At 36.9% G+C, this 23,603-nt stretch overlaps 1 protein-coding gene across 16 annotated transcripts in view; it reads left to right on the plus strand.

The window, feature by feature from the left end:
- Positions 1-23,603, plus strand: part of CNTLN (centlein) — a 393,595-nt gene that overhangs the window by 125,057 nt on the left and 244,935 nt on the right. For all 16 annotated transcript variants that reach the window (XR_007061321.1, XR_007061322.1, XR_929282.3 and 13 more), the window contains exon 6: positions 13,637-13,770. Coding sequence is in view for 13 of the 16 variants with exons in the window: in XM_017014839.2 (XP_016870328.1) it covers positions 13,637-13,770 (134 nt within the window). In the remaining 3 variants the exon portion in view is untranslated. The remainder of the gene's footprint in view (positions 1-13,636; positions 13,771-23,603) is intronic.

The following is a 23,603-nucleotide window of genomic DNA, read 5'->3' on the forward strand; positions in this document are numbered from 1 at the left end:
TCTCTTGTGGGCATTTAGTGCTATAAATTTCCCTCTACACACTGCTTTGAATGCGTCCCAGAGATTCTGGTATGTTATGTCTTTGTTCTCTTTGGTTTCAAAGAACATCTTTATTTCTGCCTTCATTTCGTTATGTACCCAGTAGTCATTCAGGAGCAGGTTGTTCAGTTTCCATGTAGTTGAGCGGTTTTGAGTGAGTTTCTTAATCCTGAGTTCTAGTTTGATTGCACTGTGGTCTGAGAGATAGTTTTTTATAATTTCTGTTCTTTTACATTTGCTGAGGAGAGCTTTACTTCCAAATATGTGGCCAATTTTGGAATAGGTGTGGTGTGGTGCTGAAAAAAATGTATATTCTGTATGTCTTCTTTTGACAAGTGTCTGTTTATGTTCTTTGCCCACTTTTTAATGGGATCATTTGTTTTTTTGCTTGTTGACTTAAGTTTCTTATGGTTTCTGGATGTTAAACCTGGATGTTAGAACCCTGTTAGATGCATAATTTGTGAAAATTTTCTCCCATTCTGTATGTTGACTGTTTACTCTTTGATAGTTTCTCTTGCTATGCAGAAGCTCTTTAGCTATGCAGAAGCTCTTTAGTTTAATTAGATCCCATTTGTCAATTTTTGTTGCAGTTGCTTTTGATGTCTTCATCATAAAATCTTTGCCAGTTCCTGTGTCCAGAATGGTATTGCCTAGGTGGTCTTCAAAGGTTTTTTTAGCTTTTGTTTTCATATTTAAGTCTTTAATCCATCTTGAGTATGGTGTAAGGAAGGGGTCCAGTTTCAATCTTCCGCATTTGGCTAGCCAGTTATCTCAGCACCATTTATTGAATAGGGGGTCTTTTCCCCATTTCATGTTTTTGTCAGCTTTGTTAAGGATCAGGTAATTGTAGGTGTGCAACTTTATTTCTGGGTTCTCTATTCTGTTCCATTGGTCTCTGTGTCTGTTTTTGTACCAATAGTACCATGCTATTTTGGTTACTGTAGCCCTGTAGTATAGTTTGAGGTTGGATAATGTGATGCATCTGGCTTTGTTCATTTTGCTTAGGATTGCTTTGTCTAATTGGGCTTTTTGGTTTCATATAAATTTTGGAATAGTTTTTGTAATTCTGTCAAAAGTGACGTTGGTAGTTTGGTAAGAATAGCATCGAATTTGTAGATTCCTTCATGGAGTAGGGCCATCTTAATGATATTGATTCTTCCAATCCATGAGCATGGCATATTTTTCAATTGGTTTGTGTCATCTATGATTTCTCTTATCAGTGTTTTGTACTTCTTCTTGTAAAGATCTTTCACCTTCTTGTTTAGATGTACTCCTGGGTATTTTGTTATTTTTTGTGGCTATTGTAAATGGGATTGTGTTTGATTTGCTTTGCAGCTTGAACATTATTGGGATTTAGAAATGCTGCTGATTTTTGTGCATTGATTTTTGTATCCTGAAACTTTACTGAAATTATGTATTCCCTAGGAGACTTTTGGTGGAATTTGTAGGGTTTTCTATGTATAGAATCATATCATCAGTGACAAGGGGTAACGTGACTTCTTTTCCTATTTGTATGTCATTTATTTTTTTCTCTTGACTGATTGCTCTGGCTAGGACTTCTAGTACTATGTTGAATAGGAGTGGTAAGAGTGGGCATGGCTTCTAATTAAACTAAAGAGGTTCTGCACAGCAGAAGAAACTAGCATCAGAGTGAACAGTCAACCTACAGAATGAAAGAAAATGTTTGCAATCTACCATTCTGACAAAGGTATCCAGAATCTACAAGGAACTTAAACAAATTTACAAGTAAAAAACAACCCCATCAAAAAGTAGGCGAAGGACATGAACAGACACTTCTCCTTCAAAAGTGGACATTTATGATGCCAACAAACATAGGAAAAAAGCTTATCAGTAGTCATTAGAGAAATGCATATCAAAACCACTATGAGATACCATCTCACGCCAGTTAGAACAGCGATTATTAAAAAGTTAGGAAACAACAGATGCTGGCAGTGCTATGGAGAAATAGAAACACTTTTACACTGATGGTGGGAGTGCAAATTAGTTCAACCATTGTGGAAGACAGTGTGGCGATTCCTCAGGGATCTAGAACCAGGAACACCATTTGACCCAGCAATACCGTTACTGGGTATATACTCAAAGGGTTATAAATCATTCTACTATAAAGACACATGCACACGTATGTTTATTGCAGCACTATGTACAATAGCAAAGACTTGGAACCAACCCAAATGCCCATCAGTGATAGACTGGATAAAGAAAATGTGGTAGATATACACCATGGAATACTATGCAGCCATAAAAGAGAATGAGTTCACATCCTTTGCAGGGACATGGATGAAGATGGAAGCTATCATCCTCAGCAAACTAACACAGGAACAGAAAACCAGCACTGCATGTTCTCACTCATAAGTGGGAGTTGAACAATGAGAACACATGAACACAGGAAGGGGAGCATCATACACTGATGCCTGTTGTGGGGTAGTGGGGAAGGGGAGGGAGAGCATTACGACAAATACCTAATGCATATTTCGGGGTTAACACCTAGTTGATGGGTTGATGAGTGCAGCAAACATCATGGCACATGTATACCCATGCAACAAACCTTCACGATCTGCACATGTATCTGAGAACTTAAAAAAAATAAAATAAAGAAAAGAAAGATTAGGTATCTCTGTATTTTTCCAGTTCTTAAAGGGAATGCTTCCAGCTTTTGCCAGTATGATCAGTATGATGTTGGCTGTGGGTTTGTCGTAGATGGCTCGTAGTATTTTGGGGTGTGTTCCGTCAATACCTAGTTTGTCGAGAGTTTTTATCATGAAGGGTTGTTAGATTTTATCAAAAGCTTCTCTGTGTCTATTGAGATGATCATATGGTTTTGTTTTTAATTCTATTTTATAATTGAGTTTTAAAATCTAATTTATCTAAAGGTTTATCAATTTTTTTAATTTTATTATTATTATACTTTAAGTTTTAGGGTACATGTGCACAACGTGCAGGTTTGTTACATATGTATACATGTGCCATGTTGGTGTGCTGCACCCATTAAGTCGTCATTTAGCATTAGGTATATCTCCTAATGCTATCCCTCCCCCCTCCCCCCACCCCACAACAGTCCCCGGAGTGTGATGTTCCCCTTCCTGTGTCCATGTGATCTCATTGTTCAATTCCCACCAGTGAGTGAGAACATGTGGTGTTTGGCTTTTTGTCCTTGCGATAGTTTGCTGAGATTGATGGTTTCCACTTTCATCCATGTCCCTACAAAGGACATGAACTCATCATTTTTTATGGCTGCATAGTATTCCATGGTGTATATGTGCCACATTTTCTTAATCCAGTCTGTCTTTGTTGGGCATTTGGATTGGTTCCAAGTCTTTGCTATTGTGAATAGTACCACAATAAACATATGTGTGCATGTGTCTTTATAGCAGCATGATTTATAATCCTTTGGGTGTATACCCAGTAATGGGATGGCTGGGTCAAATGGTATTTCTAGTTCTAGATCCCTGAGGAATTGCCACACTGACTTCCACAATGGTTGAACTAGTTTACAGTTCCACCAACAGTGTAAAAGTGTTCCTATTTCTGCACATCCTCTCCAGCCCCTGTTGTTTCCTGACTTTTTAATGATCACCATTCTAACTGGTGTGAGATGGTATCTCATTGTGGTTTTGATTTGCATTTCTCTGATGGCCAGTGATGATGAGCATTTTTTCATGTGTTTCTTGGCTGCATAAATGTCTTCTTTTGAGAAGTGTCTGTTCATATCCTTCGCCCACTTTTTGATGGGGTTGTTTGTTTTTTTCTTGTAAATTTGTTTGAGTTCATTGTAGATTCTGGATATTAGCCCTTTGTCAGATGAGTAGGTTGCGAAAATTTTCTCCCATTTTGTAGGTTGCCTGTTCACTCTGATGATAGTTTCTTTTGCTGTGCAGAAGCTCTTTAGTTTAATTAGATCCCATTTGTCAATTTTGGCTTTCGTTGCCATTGCTTTTGTTGTTTCAGACATGAAGTCCTGGCCCATGCCTATGTCCTGAATGGTATTGCCTAGGTTTTCTTCTAGGGTTTTTATGGTTTTAGGTCTAACATTTAAGTCTTTAATCCATCTTGAATTGATTTTTGTATAAGGTGTAAGGAAGGGATCCAGTTTCAGCTTTCTACATATGGCTAGCCAGTTTTCCCAGCACCACTTATTAAATAGGGAATCCTTTCCCCATTGCTTGTTTTTCTCAGGTTTGTCAAAGATCAGATAGTTGTAGATATGCAGCGTTATTTCTGAGGGCTCTGTTCTGTTCCATTGATCTATATCTCTGTTTTGGTACCAGTACCATGCTGTTTTGGTTACTGTAGCCTTGTAGTATAGTTTGAAGTCAGGTATCATGATGCCTTCAGCTTTGTTCTTTTGGCTTAGGATTGACTGGGTGATGTGGGCTCTCTTTTGGTTCCATATGAACTTTAAAGTAGTTTTTTCCAATTCTGTGAAGAAAGTCATTGGTAGCTTGATGGGGATGACATTGAATCTATAAATTACCTTGGGCAGTATGGCCATTTTCACGATATTGATTCTTCCTACCCATGAACATGGAATGTTCTTCCATTTGTATCCTCTTTTATTTCATTGAGCAGTGGTTTGTAGTTCTCCTTGAAGAGGTCCTTCACATCCCTTGTAATTTGGATTCCTAGGTATTTTATTCTCTTTGAAGCGATTGTGAATGTGAGTTCACTCATGATTTGGCTCTCTGTTTGTCTGTTGTTGGTGTATAAGAATGCTTGTGATTTTTGTACATTGATTTTGTATCCTGAGACTTTGCCGAAGTTGCTCATCAGCTTAAGGAGATTTGGGGCTGAGACAATGGGGTTTTCTAGATATAGAATCATGTCATCTGCAAACAGGGACAATTTGACTTCCTCTTTTCCTAATTGAATACCCTTTATTTCCTTCTCCTGCCTAATTGCCCTGGCCAGAACTTCCAACACTATGTTGAATAGGAGTGGTGAGAGAGGGCATCCCTGTCTTGTGCCAGTTTTCAAAGGGAATGCTTCCAGTTTTTGCCCATTCAGTATGATATTGGCTGTGGGTTTGTCATAGATAGCTCTTATTATTTTGAAATACGTCCCATCAATACCTAATTTATTGAGAGTTTTTAGCATGAAGCATTGTTGAATTTTGTCAAAGGCCTTTTCTGCATCTTTTGAGATAATCATGTGGTTTTTGTCTTTAGTTCTGTTTATATGCTGGATTACACTTATTGATTTGCGTATGTTGTAACAGCCTTGCATTCTAGGGATGAAGCCCACTTGATCATGGTGGATAAGCTTTTTGATGTGCTGCTGGATTCGGTTTGCCAGTATTTTATTGAGGATTTTTACATCAATGTTCATCAAGGATATTGGTCTAAAATTCTCTTTTTTTTGTTGTGTCTCTGCCAGGCTTTGGTTTGAGGATGATGCTGGCCTCATAAAATGAGGGAGGATTCCCTCTTTTTCTATTGATTGGAATAGTTTCAGATGGAGTGGTACCAGCTCCTCTTTGTACCTCTGGTAGAATTCGGCTGTGAATCCATCTGGTCCTGGACTCTTTTTGGTTGGTAAGCTATTGATTATTGCCACAATTTCAGAGCCTGTTATTGGTCTATTCAGAGACTCAACTTCTTCCTGGTTTAGTCTTGGGAGAGTGTATGTGTCGAGGAATTTATCCATTTCTTCTACATTTTCTGGTTTATTTGCTTAGAGGTGTTTGTAGTATTCTTTCATGGTTGTTTGTATTTCTGTGGGATCGGTGGTGATATCCCCTTTATCATTTTTTATTGCATCTATTTGATTCTTCTCTCTTTTTTTCTTTATTATTCTTGCTAGCGGTCTATCAATTTTGTTGATCTTTTCAAAAAACCAGCTCCTGGATTCATTAATTTTTTGAAGGGCTTTTTGTGTTTCTATTTCCTTCAGTTCTGCTCTGATGTTAGTTATTTCTTGCCTTCTGCTAGCTTTTGAATGTGTTTGCTCTTGCTTCTCTAGTTCTTTTAATTGTGAAGTTAGGGTGTCAGTTTTGGATCTTCCTGCTTTCTCTTTTGGGCATTTAGTGCTATAAATTTCCTTCTACACACTGCTTTGAATGTGTTCCAGAGATTCTGGTATGCTGTGTCTTTGTTATCATTGGTTTCAAATAACATCTTTATTTCTGCCTTCATTTCATTATGTACCCAGTAGTCACTCAGGACCAGGTTGTTGAGTTTCCATGTAGTTGAGTGGTTTTGAGTGAGTTTCTTAATCCTGAGTTCTAGTTTGATTGCACTGTGGTCTGAGAGACAGTTTGTTATAATTTCTGTTCTTTTACATTTGCTGAGGAGAGCTTTGCTTCCCAGTATGTGGTCAATTTTGGAATAGGTGTGGTGTGCTGCTGAATAAAATGTATATTCTGTTGATTTGGGGTGGAGAGTTCTGTAGATGTCTATTAAGTCTGCTTGGTGCAGAGCTGAGTTCAATTCCTGGGTATCCTTGTTAACTTTCTGTCTCGTTGATCTGTTTAGTGTTGACGGTGGGATGTTATAGTCTCCCATTATTATTGTGTGGGAGTCTAAGTCTCTTTGTAGGTTACTCAGGACTTGCTTTATGAATCTGGGTGCTCCTGTATTGGGTGCATATATATTTAGGATAGTGAGCTCTTGTTGTTGAATTGATCCCTTTACCATTATGTAATGGCCTTCTTTGTCTCTTTTGATCTTTGTTGGTTTGAAGTCTGTTTTATCAGAGACTAGGATTGCAACCCCTGCCTTTTTTTGTTTTCCATTTGCTTGGTAGATCTTTCTCCATCCCTTTATTTTGAGCCTATGTGTGTCTCTGCACATGAGATGGGTTTCCTGAATACAGCACACTGATGGGTCTTGACTCTTTATCCAATTTGCCAGTCTGTGTCTTTTAATTGGAGCATGTTGCCCATTTACATTTAAAGTTAATGTTGTTATGTGTGAATTTGGGCCTGTCATTATGATGTTAGCTGGTTATTTTGCTCGTTAGTTGATGCAGTTTCTTCCTATCCTTGATGGTCTTTACATTTTGGCATGTTTTTGCAGTGGCTGGTACCGGTTGTTCCTTTCCATGTTTAGTGCTTCCTTCAGGAGCTCTTTTAGGGCAGGCCTGGTGGTGACAAAATCTCTCAGCATTTGTTTGTCTGTAAAGTATTTTATTTCTCCTTCACTTATGAAGGTTAGGTTGGCTGGATATGAAATTCTGGGTTGAAAATTATTTTTTTTAAGAATGTTGAATATAGGCCCCCACTCTCTTCTGGCTTGTAGAGTTTCTGCCGAGAGCTCCGCTGTTCGTCTGATGGGCTTCCCTTTGTGGGTAACCCGACCTTTCTCTCTGGCTGCCCTTAACATTTTTTCCTTCATTTCAACTTTGGTGAATCTGACAATTATGTGTCTTGGAGTTGCTCTTCTCGAGGAGTATCTTTGTGGCGTTCTCTGTGTTTCCTGAATCTGAATGTTGGCCAAACTTGCTAGATTGGGGAAGTTCTCCTGGATAATATCCTGCAGAGTGTTTTCCAACTTGGTTCCATTCTCCCCGACACTTTCAGGTACACCAATCAGACGTAGATTTGGTCTTTTCACATAGTCCCATATTTCTTGGAGGCTTTGTTCGTTTCTTTTTATTCTTTTTTCTCTAAACTTCTCTTCTCACTTCATTTCATTCATTTCATCTTCCATCACTGATACCCTTTCTTCCAGTTGATCGCATCGGCTAATGAGGCTTCTGCAGTCCACGTAGCTCTTGTGCCTTGGTTTTCAGCTCCATCAGGTTCTTTAAGGACTTCTCTGCATTAGTTGTTCTAGTTATCCATTCGTCTAATTTTTTTTTCAAACTTTTAACTTCTTTCCCATTGGTTTGAATTTCCTCTTGTAGCTTGGAGTAGTTTGACTGTTTGAAGCCTTCTTCTCTCAACTTGTCAAAGTCATTCTCCATCCAGCTTTGTTCCGTTGCTGGTGAGGAGCTCTGTCCTTTGGAGGAGGAGAGGTGCTCTGGTTTTTAGAGTTTCCAGTTTTTCTTCTCTGTTTTTTCCCCATCTTTGTGGTTTTATCTACTTTTGGTCTTTGATGGTGGTGACTTACAGATGGGTTTTTAGTGTGGATGTGCTTTTTGTTTGTTAGTTTTCCTTCTATCAGACAGGACCCTCAGCTGCAGGTCTGTTGGAGTTTGCTAGAGGTCCACTCCAGACCCTGTTTGCCTGGGTATCAGCAGCGGTGGCTTTAGAATAGCGGATATTGGTGACCCGCAAATGCTGCTGCCTGATCGTTCCTCTGGAAGTTTTGTCTCAGAGGAGTACCTGGCCATGTGAGGTGTCTGTCAGTCTGCCCCTACTGGGGGGTGCCTCCCAGTTAGGCTGCTCGGGGGTCAGGGACCCTCTTGAGGAGGCAGTCTGCCCGTTCTCAGATCTCTAGCCGCGTGCTGCGAGAACCACTACTCTCTTCAAAGCTGTCAGACAGGGACATTTATGTCTGCAGAGGTTACTGCTGTCTTTTTGTTTGTCTGTGCCCTGCCCCCAGAGGTGGAGCCTACAGAGGCAGGCAGGCCTCCTTGAGCTGTGGTTGGGCTCCACCCAGTTCCAGCTTCAGGGCTGCTTTGTTTACCTAATCAAGCCTGGGCAATGGCAGGCACTCCTCCCCCAGCCTCGCTGCCACCTTGCAGTTTGGTCTCAGACTGCTGTGCTAGCAATCAGCGAGACTCTGTGGGCGTAGGACCCTCTGAGCCAGGTGCGGGTTATAATCTGGTGTGCCGTTTTTTAATCCCGTCAGAAAAGTGCAGTATTAGGGTGGGAGTGACCCGATTTTCCAGGTGCTGTCTGTCACCCCTTTCTTTGACTAGGAAAGGGAACTCCCTGACCCCTTGTGCTTCCCGAGTTAGGCCATGCCTCGCCCTGCTCTGGCTAGCGCACGGTGCGCTGCACCCACTGTCCTGCACCCACTGCCTGGCACTCCCTAGTGAGATGAACCCGGTACCTCAGATGGAAATGCAGAAATCACCTGTCTTCTGCATCGCTCATGCTGGGAACTGTAGACCGGAGCTGTTCCTATTCGGCCATGTTGGCTCCATCTGTATCAATTTTTAAATATCTCTTCCAAATCCAACTCTTATTTAAAATTTTTTTTCTATTGTTTTGTTATTTAATTAACCACTACTCTAATCTTTCTTATTTCCTTTCTTCTGCTAACTTTTGGTTCAATTTGTTCTTCTTCTAATTGTTTCCAATGTGTAAATTTAGGTTGTTGAGATTTTTCTTCCTTTTTAATGTACTACATACTTAACAGCTATAAACTTGCCTCTTACCATTCCTTTTTCTGCATCCCAGAAGTTTTGGTTTTGGTATGTTTTCTAATTTTTATTTGTCTCAAGGTATTTTCTAATTTCTTTCTTTCATGATCTCTTGTTTGGTCAATTGGTTGTTTAAGAATGTTTTGCTTAATTTCCATGTGGATGAAAAATTTCCAGTTTTCCTTCTGTAATTGATTTCTGGTTTTATTACATTGTGATCAGAAAAAATACTTTATATAATTTTAGTATTTTAAAAATTGTTGAGCCTTGTTTTATGGTCTGTCATGGAGAATGTTTCATGTGCCATTAAGATGAATGTATATTCTGTTGTTGTTGAGTGGAATATTCTGTATTATTCTTTTAGTTCCATTTGTTCTGTAGTGTTGTTCTACTCCTCTATTTCATTATTTTGGTTCTAGACCACCACAATAAAGGGAATATTGTAATAAAGTGAGTTACACAAGTGTTTTTGGTTTTTGACTTCATATAATTATATTGTACATTTGTTTTAAGATTTATTTCTGGTTATTTTATGTTTCTTGTTGGTATTGTAAATGTTTAGTTTTATAGAAAATCATCTGAGTTTTGCACAGTCATCTTTTATAATCTTGCTCAACTCTAGCTCTAAGTGCTTACACTTTGTTTTTGTTTTTTTGGTGGAAGATCATATTGGCTGCTAATAAGAATGGTTTACTCTTTCTGTTAATATTTATATATTTAATGTCTGTTCTTTTTTCCCTTCTCTTAGTATATTACCTAAAATCCCCAGGACAATTTTAATATAAAACCAGTTTGTTCTTGATTTTTTAATGAACATTTCACCATTAATTATGATATTTGCTGATTTTTGGCATTCATATTACTAAAGTAAGAAAATTCTTCTGTATTCCTATTTTGTTGTTAGTTTTTGTTTTTAAATCGTAAGGTGTTGGATTGTTTTGGATGATTTTTCTGACTCTATTGGCATCTTCATATTTTTTTCCTTTAATCTCTTAATGTGGTAAATTATATTAACAGATTTTCTAATGTTAAGGCATCCTTATATTTCTGGAACCAAATCATCTCAATAAATTACCCAAATCTTTCTTCAATACTAGTATAGCTTATTTTGGATTTTTGCATCTATATGCCTAAGTGATATTGCCCTGAAATGTTCCTTTTTATGTCCTTCCCTTTCTAACGTGGATAACAGGTCATTTCATAAAATGAGTTGAGAACATCCTTTTAAAATTCTGTGTAATGTTTCTCACAAGATGGGGGTTATTCATTTATTGTAATGTTTATAGACCTTACCTTTAAACCTTTAGGACCAGATAAGGTGTTTTTTTGAGTCAGCTTCATATAATTGATTAAATGTGTTGATATTTGTAACATTTTAAATTATCCTTTTGAAATTTTCTATTTTTTCTTTTTTTGAATTTTTAAATTTAGAATGTGTAATATAGTCGCATGGCTCAAAACTGAACAAGATATAGTGGGAAACAATGAAAAGTTTTACCTTAATTTTGTATTAATATCAAGGGCATTTCCTTCAGAGAGGAGTTCTTTTTTTTTTTTTTTTTTTTTGAGACAGAGTCTTGCTCTGTCGCCCAGGCTGGAGTGCAGTGGCTCAATCTTGGCTCACTGCAATCTCAGCCTTCCGGGTTCACACCATTCTCCTGCCTCAGCCTCCGGAGTAGCTGGGACTACAGGCACCCGCCACCACGCCCGGCTAATTTTTTGTGTTTTTAGTAGAGATGGGGTTTCACCATGTTAGCCTCGATCTCCTGACCTCGTGATCTGCCCACCTCAGCCTCCCAAAGTGCTGGGATTACAGGCGTGAGCCACCGCGCCCAGCACTATTTTTGTTTTTTACCTTGGGAGCATGATTTGTGGGGGCGCACCATAAATCATGCACCAGATTTGCGGTTCACTGACCTTCCAAAAATGGAAACCCAGGCTGGAATTCTGTGTGAGGGCTAGCTTTAGGACCACCTGTACTAAGGGGTGCATTTTCCTCCTTCGTTTTCTTTCTTTCTTTGCTTAGTATTACAAATGAAGTTCTGTTACTTATTCTGGATTCCATTCTAGTAATTTAGGTTTTTCATGAAAATTGTTCTAGATTTGTATACTTACTGGAAAACTTGTTCTAGTATTTTCTAATGATTAAAATACATATATTATATCCACCAGAAGCTGACATTTGGATTTCTGTTTTCAGCCTATCTTTCTTGTAGTCTGCTTTATCATGATGAATGGATCCACCATTCACCTCTTTGCTCCCAGGCCATATCCCTACGAGAGATCTTTAATTCCTGTTTTTATCTTGCAACTCCACAGACACTTATCAACAGGTCCTGTCATTTTTACCTTCAGAATATATTTTAAATTTGACTCTTCATCACCTCTGTTATTACTTATCAAGCCACCATCAGCTTTGGCTGGATTATTTTCAATAATTTTTGATTTGGTTCCTCTATGTCTACTCTTCACGTAAAATAGTAGTTTTTTCATTTTAGCTGCCTGGTTGTTCCATTTTTGCTTCATAATATTTGTCTATTTTAGTATATTCTGTATATTTATAGTCCTTTTGAATTGGTTCCCATATTTGCATTTTGCTAGGATAGTGTCCCCTCCCTCCCTCCCTTCCTTCCTTTTTTCCTTCCTTCCTTCCTCTCTCTTTCCTTTCTGTCCTTTCTTTCCTTCCTTTCTTTCCCTCCCTCCCTCCCTCCCTTCCTTCCTTTCTTTCCTTTGGTGCGATTTCAGCTCACTGCAACCTCCGCCTCCTGGGTTCAAGCGATTCTTTTGCCTCAGCCTCCTGAATAGCTGGGACTACAGGTGCGTGCCACCATGCCCAACTAATTTTTGCATTTTTAGTAGAGGCGGGGTTTCACCACGTTGGCTAGGATAGTCTCGATCAGTTGACCTCGTGATCTGCCCGCCTCAGCCTCCTAAAGTGCTGGGATTACAGGCGTGAGTCACTGCGCCTGGCCAGATAATGTTTATTTCTGATTGTTCACTTCATTGACTCTGTTTTTGAAGGTTAGATTTTGAAGGGTGTGTCTTGATGGGAATGTTTTACCATCCTCTATTTCTACCCTGGTGTTCGTTTATCGCTTTTAAGCTATTTTGAGGTTCCTGGTACTTTTTGGTACCTCAGTCTGGAGCTAGATCTTCTTTCCAGCCTGAGGCATCTTGTCCCTCCCTGATATTTGGCAGAAATCAGATTGAATCTTGAGATGAGCAGCTTTACCCAGATCCTATCTGTGGTGTGTTAAAAAATTTCTTCTGTGTCTCCAGACCATAGTCATAATCTGTTTTTGGTTTCTTTTTTAAGAGTATGAGAGCCCTTCTGTAGTCCCCAGTTTCATTTTCTGAGTTTGGATTCTTTCCCCTGCTAAGCATAAAAATACATTTACTCCTAACTGTCAGTAGTTGAACATCTGCCACCTCTGTATATGTTGGGCACAAAGATAGAGTAAGTTTTTAAAAAGGCTTGCTTTCCCTCCCTCCCTCCTTCTGCCCTTATTTTCTCCCCTCTGTCTTCCTCTCCTTCCTCCATCTAGTTGTTTATAAACCTTTGTTATTTATCTATCATTGTCTTTTCTTTTTTTACAGATAATTAGGAATTTCTAGTGCTTTATCTAAAACTTGGTGTTTATGTTTGGAAATAATGAATGTATGGTGTTTCTGTTGGCATACTTTATTTAGATATATATTTAGTTCTTTGCAAAAGTAATTAAAATTAATTTTATAATATATTTAAAACACCTAATTTTAAAATCCTTTCACAATGAAAAATATTTAGAGAATGATCAGGAGGAAAAGATCAGCTTTCAAGAACTTTAGGTAAATTTCACCACAGTCAAGAGAATTGAACACGATCTGAGTCTCAAACTCTGAAAAACTTTTTTGATGTCTTTGAAGCACTGTCCTTTCTTCTTGAAATGTATCTGTGTATTTGCACTTCAAACAGAGAAAACAGGGAAATAAGTAAATGTCTATAATTTGTTGTGATTAATGTTGAAGTAAATGAGTTCATTTTTGTTCAGCTAATGTATTACTTTATTGTACAATAATTTAATAACTACATTTTTTATACATATCTTCTAGTTTATTTGCTTCAGATTCTTAACTTTTACACCAAGAGGCCATGATGTTTTTAAGTTTTTGAAAGAAAAAATCTGTGACTGGTATAAAAGTTATTGTTTGTGTTAAAATTATTTTAAGTAAGTGAAAAAATTAAAACTATTTTTCTCTGTCATTTTGTAGAATAATTAAATATAACAGATGTTTTGTTACATGTAGTATTTATTATGTTTGATTATTGATATAAGCACTCTAATTTTAGACCTTTGAAGACAATTTAATTGAAGCAAGGAAAGAAGTTGAAGTATCACAGAGTAAATACAATGCTCTATCATTACAGTTGAGTAATAAACAGACTGAACTTATCCAGAAGGATATGGATATTACCCTGGTCAGGCAAGTATATTCAATTTTTAATTTAACATCATAGAAATGTCATTAGTTATTCAGAATGATACCATTTATACTTATTACTAACACCCTAAAATAATAACTATGTTTTCTGTGGTTATATATGTTTGTGCATTGAGAATCTGGAGTTATTTACACTAACTTGAAAAATTGCCTGGAAGAATGAGTGGGTCTACAGGATTGGACGAGCATGGTCAAGGGGTACCCTAGTTTCAGTTTTTAACAAGGATATTGCAATGCTTTCATTCATTGTTTTCTTCTAACATTTCTAGCCATGTGTTACATGATGCTCATATTGTTACAGTGAACAATAGTAACTGAGAAACAAATTTTGACTTTAATTTTATTATATTCTATATAGTTTGTTTTAAAGCAGTCTTTCTATATCAACATAATTGATTTTGTAATACTATTCATAAAGTTGGATTACTTGAAAAAGGAAGCACGATACTCTTGTATTTCTGTTTTTTAAAGATGTTAAAACTATTAATTTACTTTGTAATTACCTTTTCCAGAAAATAGTATGAGAGAGAATAAATTAAGACAGAACTTTTCCTTGGTTCATAGATCAATATCTATCTATCTATCTATCTATCTATCTATCTATCTATCTATCTATCTATGTATCTTTCTATCTATCCATCCATCCACATGCATGAAAGGACATGCATGCATGTTTGTATTTATTTTGCATGCATGTGTTTATTTATTTTGGTAGCACCAGAGCATGGGATCGAAGATATGCTTCTAGAGGTATATAATAGAGTTTGATTGTATAATTTATTTTAATTTAAAAACTAAGTGATAAATAAATGATGGATACATCACTGCCATTCTGGTACACATTGGGTGGAGTTCTTTGGTAAAACTTGTCTGGGAATTTTCCTTCATGTTAGTGGGCATTGGTAAGGGGGTCAAGTTAGTGCTGTTTATGACGTAGTTTTTATAGTTCCATTAGGCAAAATACAGTTTTGTAAATTTAAATATGCCATTGTGAATTTAGTTTGGATGAAAACTGTTTACCATTACTGAAGCCAATAAAGTTAAAATGAATTAGGACATTAACAGATTCCTTGTATCACATTTTAAAAACTTTCTCATCATAAGGGTGAGGAAAAGTATAAACTTTATAGATGATAGACTGGTTAACATATCAACTCATGTTATAATTATTTTTAAAACAATAACGAAGTCAGAAAAGTAATTCTAAATAGGAATAGAATCTTAGATTTGGATGAAATTTAAAAATTATTATTTATTCTTATCCTCTTCCTAGTAAGATTGCATAGCGTTTAGTCTTTCCTTGAAAACTTAGTTTAAAAGTTTCTGATGCTTTTCAAGACTGCTATTTTCATTTTATATTGTTTAAATTTTTGAACATTGTTTTACATGTACTTAGTTGAAATTTGCCTTTTTATAATTCCCACCCATTTATTGTAGTTTTATTATCTGGAGAATCTCAGAAACCATCTAATCCCTATTCTGTAACATAGCTCAGTGGTCTCAGACATTTATCAATGACAACATTTTTTCACTAATTGATCAACTACTCCTATTTCTTACATAAACTCTCCATGTACATATTTCACAGATGTTATCATGTTTTGGGTTACCTTTCTGACTGTTTTCCATATTGTCAATCTTCTTAAAATATAACATCTGGAACTGCATAAAATATTTCAACAAAGACCTTTACATTTTAGAGTATGATGGTGCTAGGCTATTAGAACAAACATGGTGTTCATTCTAGGATACAGTGCAGTGTTAAGGACATGGGATATAACAACTATGTTTTCTTCTACATTTTGCGTGAGTTTGTATATTTAAATTTAGTGTATTGCAAGAGCTGTAAGTTATTATAAATAAAGCAAGAATATCCTTGCATGCACTTTTTCTTATACAATAGTAAAAGAATAATAGCTAGTGGGCCATGTGTAATTCTAAGAGTTTGATTATAAGGACCTATAGAGGCATATGGCCTATGTGAATTAATGCAGGAACAAAAAACCAAATACTTCATGTTCTCACTTATAAGTGAGAGCTAAACATTGGGTACCCATCGACATAAACGTAGGAGCAGTAGACACTGTGGACTACTAGACGGTGAAGGGAGTGAGGGTGCATGGGTGGAAAAATCTACCTGTTGGATACTATATTTACCACCTGGGTAACAGGATCCATACCCCAAATGTCAGCATCAAGCAATATAGCCAGGTAATAGTACTACACATATACCCCCTGTATCTAACATAAAAGTTGAAATTTTGAAAATAAGGACTCACAGAGGAGAAGAATAATAGCACAGAGTTGGTAGTTTGGAGCAGTGGACTTTCTCTTGAATCCTCATTATAGGGTAGTAGTTGAGATGTCTACAGTGTGTCTCCTAAGTTATCTTGTATGAGGATTACTGTTGGATATACTGTGTGTCTTGTTTCTTTCATCATTATTTCACTGGGAGAGGGTGGTTATGATATACCAGTCCCAGTTTATTGAATCTTTATGTTGTAATCAAGACATATGAAGCCATAATTGTGGAAAAAGTGGTCTAGGCACTTTCTTATTTGGATACACTTTTCCTCACTGATAAATGATGGAGCTACTGTTTCTGTATGGATTTCCTTCTTTGAAGTTCATAGTCATTTATATTTTATTGAATATTTGATCCATGTCACCCATTGTGCTAAAGGATATTTTTGTGAACTCTACCTCAAATGATTTTTGCCTAGGTTACAGTATAAATAAGTATATACAGTCATTCCTTGGTATCTGTGGGGGATTGGTTTCAGGCCTCAATATGGATACTAAAATCTACAGATGCTCAAGCCCTTGATATAAAATGGCAGTATTTGCACATAACTTATGTGCATCCTCCTGTATACTTCAAATCTTTAGATTGCTTATATTAATAGTATCAAATACAATGTAAATGCTATATAAATAGTTGTTATACTGTATTTTTTGTTTGTATTGTTTTGTTGTTATATTTTTAAAATTACTGTTTTTGATCTATTGTTGGTTGAATTTGTGGAAGCAGAAACCACAGATATGGAAGTCCAACTCTATGCATATATAATGATGTACATGTCTGTAATCTGTATAGAGCATATGAATATATTTACCTAGCCATTGCATTAAAAAGGATAACTAATTAAATTGCCTAACCAAAACTTTTACCTGATGGTAATGATGGAGCTACTGTTTCTGTATGGATTTCCTTCTTTGAAGTTCATAGTCATTTATATTTTATTGAATATTTGATCCCTGTCACCCATTGTGCTAAAGGATATTTTTGTGAACTCTACCTCAAATGATTTTTGCCTAGGTTACAGTATAAATAAGTATATACAGTCATTCCTTGGTATCTGTGGGGGATTGGTTTAGATGGGGTAGATGGGGTAGAACCATTACCTAATGGTTCTACAATTGAGATGAGAATTTTTGTTAGAAATTGAGTCAAGACAGTGCAGTCATAATTTTGGTTCAGAAAATCTTCAGACAGAATCCTGAAATTGGATTAATACATCTGGATTGCTGGTTTTCTCAGATGCTTAGCAGAAGCAAGTGAGTTTTCTTTGGAGAATGATAAAATAATCTGGACTTAAATTATATCTAAAGTTTTACAAAATAGGGTCTAGCACATAGTCAGAAATAACAAGTATGTAGTAAGGAAAGAAGAATAAAAAGATATAAGACCTAGAAATGAAAGCAGAAATCCTAGTTATTTGGTAAAACATGATTAATTCACGTAGAGAACCCAAAATAATTTATATATAGTTTAAACTAATAAGTTTATCATGCTTGGTGGATACATGGTCAGTATATAAAACTTAATTGCATCTTTTATACCAGCGAAACATATTAGGAAATAAGAATTTACAATATTACTGGAGGTATGAAGTGCACATATAATGAAAAATGTGTATTACCTCTATTCAGAGAATTCTACAAATGTTGAGAAAAATAGAAGGTGTAATATATTCAGGGAAATATCAAAGTTCATGGTTTGGAAGACTCACTATCATAAAGATACCAGTTCTCTCTGAATAGATATTAGATTCAGAAAATGCTGACCATCGATTATCAACAACAGGAAACCATTACCACCCTTAGCCAGAAGGGACAAGAATTAGTATCCTGTGACGGAAGCTGCCCAATAAGACCAATAACCTTAGACAGAGGAACACAGGCACTATCAAACTGTGGCTCAGCAGAGAGTGAGCTGGGTAAATAAATATCCGGACCTCTTTCTCCTTTACCCTGGAATCACCAGCTAGTGCCTCCAACTGATGAAATTCAGTCACAGCCAGAGAACAAGGAGCAGTATAACTAGTCTGTAGAGAGGTTGGGCTCTTAGGCTAAGCAGAGTAGAGATGATGAAGACTGGCCCATTCTCAGTTACTACTCTTTTTCAGAACTTTTCTGGCCATTATTCCCTGTTAGTTTTTGCATATGAACTTTAGAGTAAACTTGCTTATTTTTTCTTTGGTATGTTAGTAGCACATAAAATTTACAATAATCTAAGAAGAATTGACATCTTTATGATGTTCAGTCTTCTTGTCCCAGAGTGTGGTGTGTCATTCCATTTGTTTCAGTCTACCTCTGTGTCTTTCCTCAAACAGATTTTGAACATTTCTCATCAAATTTATTCCTAGCTCTTTCATGTTTCTTGTTACTATTTTAAATGTAATTTTTCCTTCCCATATAATTTTCAAATGATTTTTCTTTTACTGCATATAGTTTTACTGTACAGCTTTTTTGGTGGATAAAAATAAGTTGTTTTGTTTTTACTGTGAACTGTGCTATAGTTATTTTGGTATAAATGATAAACGTGAATTATGTAAAAATAAATACATGCAGTACAGAAAAGTACAAAGAAGGTAAAAGAAAAAAACGTTAGACTAAAAATGCATCCCTAGAGAATTAACAGCCATAAAATTCTGTGAGCATTGTTCTACATTTTTCTCAGTCCTGATTTATAAATTGAAGATTGGGTAGACAGATGTTTTTAAATAAAAGGGACTATATTGCACATGTTCTTTTGGTAACTAATAATTTTAGGTTTTTTTTTCATATAATGAAACAATAAGGCTCTCTGATGTGAAATTGAGGAGATTATTACATCTTAGATAATTATTTTTTCTCTATAAGGAACACTATCTTTCTAAAACTAAGAACAAACTGATACGAAAAACCTTGGCGATTCATGTTATTATTTTTTTTTAAACTACATTTCATCTGTAGTTGATTTTGGCACTCTGCTCTGTATACTCTGGAAATAAGCACATAAATTCAACCATTTTGACTCCCCCCAATTTGTATCTTAAGAATTACAGCATTTATCTTCTCTTGTATAACCACAGTGAACACAGATGTTTAGGCATAATTCTATATAGTACTTCAGTGTTCATCACTAAACTTTTTTACTCTTGATTTGTTCATTCCATCCTGTTTGTTTTGATTCATCTCATGAGCCCATTTTTACCAGGGCCTTCCCTATTGCTACCATATGCTTTTCTGCCCCTGTTGGCATCCAATTTAGCCATGTGACTTATTTTGGCCAGTGAAATGAGAGGCTTTGCAAATGTTTTAAAGGAGCCGTTGTTTGATTTGCCTTTGCTTTTCACCTTTTTCCAGGAGAACAGCCTATTTCCACTATAGTCTGATGCTCCAGTTTGGTTCTTAGAACAGAGAAAAGCAAATGTAATGTGAAGAAGCCATAGATCTTTGTTTTTGGAAGGTGTCAGGTTTTTTTTTTTTTCCTGCAGAATTATGTAGAGCAGCTGCTCGAAACCCTCTGTTAGTGTTTCCTGTCAAACCTGGTCTTTAAAGGGATAGTCCTAATTTAATCACATGGCCTACTCAACTCCTGAGACAGCATCACTGCAATGGTTTGAATATTTGTCCCATCCAAAGTTCATGTTGAAATTTAGTCCTCAGTGTGGGACATTGGGCTCTGCCTTCATGAATGAATTAATCCAATTCTCATGAATGAATTAATCCACTCAGGTATTAATGGGTTATTATGGGAATGCGACTGTTGGCCTTATAAGACGAAGAGAGACCTGAGCTAGTATGCTCAGCTTCTTTGCCATGTGATGTCTGGCACTGCCTCAGGACTCTGCATAGAGTCCCCATGAGGAAGAAGGTCCTCAGCAGATGGAACCCTTCAACCTTGGACTTCTGTAAGAATAACTGTAAGAAATAAATTCCTTTTTCTTTATAAATTACCCAGTTTTAGGGATTCTGTTATAAGTAACAAAAATGGACTAAAACAATCACTAGTAACTGAAAGATTATTAGATTTATATTTCAGCAGTAAAATATATTCTACAGAACTTAACATCCTTCATGAGGTGGGAAGAAGTATTGTTGGTTCTCAGTATCTTCTCTTTCAACTAACCTAGATTGTCCTTAATTCCCTTTGATCTGTATCTAGAGGAACTTCTCAAGTTTGAACCTAACAATTTTATGTTCCATAACTTTGATTTTGCTTATAACTACTCTCATTATGGATTTAAAGCTATGATGGCATTTTTTTTTCTTTGTATCAATCCTTTTTTATTATCTTTTTCATTTCATTCATTCAACAACTGTTTTTACATAGCCTAGTAAACAGGGCCTGAGTCACGGATTACATACTGATTACTTGGGAGATTCACTTCCAGTACAGAGTGGGCAAAAGTACAAGAATCTGAGGCAGGGAAGGATAAAAAGTAATTCGAGGTAATGCATTGTTGTTCTGGCCATTGCTTCATGATAAACCGTGAAGACATCAGGTCACTGACTTAGCCACCCAAGAACTGAGAAACTGTGCCCTAGAGCAAGCCATCAGATGGAAGAAGATAATTTATCTCTCTGGTTTCCTTTTGTGTTTTGTCTTCCAGTTTGTTGTTCATACCATCCCCTGTATAGTAGCATTGTTTATCCCAGTCTGGAAATGGTAAATGCAGAAAAAGACTCTAGGCATGCAGCTGGTTATCCTCACGTGATGGAGTCATTTGAACTGTATATATCTGGTAGGCTGATGTAGCAATTAGTAGGCTGAGGCAGAGAGATGGACTCAAAATTCTAGTAGCTAGCTGAGGTTGAATCTCAAAAGATGCATAAGACACATATTTAATAAGAGACAGGAACTGTCCTAGGTGCTCTGTTTATAGCAGTGAACAAAAAAAGTTCCTGCTCTCACAGAGATGTCCTTACATCTTGGCTTTCTATTGGTATTTCACAGCGGCATAATGGCTTATTTTTTGTACTTTTTCTTCACTTTTCTTCTAAGTTCTTATGTTACTCCTACTGAGAGGTATACTCTTCCTCTAAGTATTCACAATTGCATTTCGTTTTTCTTAATTTTATTACCCCCATTCCTTTTAGATGTCCTGTTATTTTATTTTATTTTTTAAAAATTAATTTTGTTTCAAGTTCCAGGATACACGTGCAGGATGTGCAGGTTTGTTATGTAGGTAAATATGTGCCATGGTGGTTTGCAGCACCTATCAATCTATCACCTAGGTATTAAGCCCCACATATATTAGCTATTTATCCTGATGTTCTCCCTCTCCCCGCACACCACCCTCCCCACTGACAGGCCCCAGTGTGTATTGTTCCCCTACCTGTATCCGTGTGTTCTCATTGTTCAGCTCCCACTACGTGCAGTGTTTGGTTTTGTGTTCCTGCGTTAGTTTGCTGACGATAATGGCTTCCAGCTCCATCCATGTCCCTGCAAAGGACATCATCTCGTTCCTTTTTATGGCTGCATCATATTCCATGTTGTATATGTACCACATTTTCTTTATCCAGTCTATCTTTGATGGGCATTTGGGTTGATTCAATGTCTTTGCTATTGTGAATAGTGCTGCAATGAACATAACACGTGTATGTATCTTTATAATAGAATGATTTATATTATATTGGGTATATATACCCAGTAATGGGATTGCTGGGTCAAATGGTGTTTCTGGTTCTAGGTCTTTGAGGAATCGCCACACTGTCTTCCACAATGGTTGCACTAATATACATTCCCACCAACAGTGTCAAAGCGTTCCTGTTTCTCCACAGCCTCGCCAGAATCTGTTGTTCCTTGACTTTTTTTTTGTTTGTTTTGAGACGAAGTCTCGCTCTGTTGCCAGGCTGGAGTGCAGTGGAGCGATCTCGGCTCACTGCAACTTATGCCTCCCCAGTTCAAGCAATTCTTCTGCCTCAGCCTCCTGAGTAGCTGGGACTACAGGTGTGTGCCACCATGCCCAGCTAGTTTTTGTATTTTTAGTAGAGATAGGGTTTCACCATGTTGGCCAGGATGGTCTCGATCTGTTGACCTTGTGATCTACCCACCTCAGCCTCCCAAAGTGCTGGGATTACAGAGTGAGACACCGTGCCTGGCTGACTTCTTAATAATATCCATTCTGACTGGTGTGAGATGGTATCTTATTGTGGTTTTGATTTGCATTTCTCTAATGATCAGTGATGTTGAGCTTTTTTTGATATGTTTGTTGGCATCATAAATGTCTTCTTTTGAGAAGTGTCTGTTCGTGTCCTTTGCCCACTTTTTAAATGGGGCTGTTTGTTTTTTTCTTGTAAATTTAAGTTCCTTGTAGATTCTGGATATTAGGCCTTTGTCAGATGGATAGATTGCAAAAATTTTCTCCCATTCTGTAGGTTGCCTGTTCACTTGATGATAGTTTCTTTTGTTGTGCAGAAGCTCTTTAGTTTAATTAGATAGCATTTGTCCATTTTTGCTTTTGTTACAATTGCTTTTGATGTTTTTGTCATGAAATCTTTGCCCGGGCCTATATCCTGAATGGTTTCAGTAGATTTCCTTCTAGGATTTTTGTACTTTTGGGTTTTACATTTAATGAGTCTTTAACCTATCTTGAATTGATTTTTGTATAAGGCATAAGGAAGGGGTCCAGTTTCAGTTTTCTCCTTATGGCTAGCCAGTTTTCCCAGCAGCATTTATTAAATAGAGAATCCTTTCCCCATTGCTTGTTTTTGTCAGGTTTGTCAAAGATCAGATGGTTGTAGATGTGCGGTCTTATTTCTGAGATCTCTGTTCTGTTCTATTGGTTCATGTGTCTGTTTTTGTACCAGTACCGTGTTGTTTTGGTTACTGTTGCCCTGTAGTATCGTTTGAAGTCCGGTAGTGTAATGCCACTGGCTTTGTTCTTTTCGCTTAGGATTGTCTTGGCTATACGGGCTCTTTTTTGGTTCCATATTAATTTTAACGTAGTTTTTTCTAAATCTGTGAAGAATGTTAATGGTAGTTTAATAGGAATAGCATTGAATCTATAAATTACTTTGGGCAGTGTGGCCATTTTCACGATGTTGATTCTTTCTATCCATGAGCATGGAATGTTTTTTCATTTGTTTTTGCCCTCTCTTATTTCTTTGAGCAGTGGTTTGTAGTTCTCCTTGAAGAGGTCCTTCACTCTTTCACTTCTCTTGTTAGCTGTATTCCTAGGCATTTTATTCTTTTCTTAGCATTTGTGAATGGGAAGTTCATTCATGATTGGGCTCTCTGCTTGTCTATTGTTAGTGTATGGGAATGCTTGTGATTTTTGCAGTTGATTTTGTATACTGAGACTTTGCTGAAGTTGCATATCAGCTTGGAAAGCTTTTGGGCTGTGATGATGGGGTTTTCTAGATATAGAATCATGTCATCTGCAAACAGAGACAGTTTGACTTCCTCTCTTCCCATTTGAATACCCTTTGTTTCTTTGTCTTCCCTGACTGCCCTGGCCAGAACTTCCAATACTATGTTGAATAGAAGTGGTGAGAGACAGCATCCTTGTCTTGTGCCAGTTTTCAAGGGAAATGTTTCCAGC

The sequence above is a fragment of the Homo sapiens genome, chromosome 9 (assembly GCF_000001405.40).
Source record: "Homo sapiens chromosome 9, GRCh38.p14 Primary Assembly".
Lineage (NCBI taxonomy): Eukaryota > Metazoa > Chordata > Mammalia > Primates > Hominidae > Homo > Homo sapiens.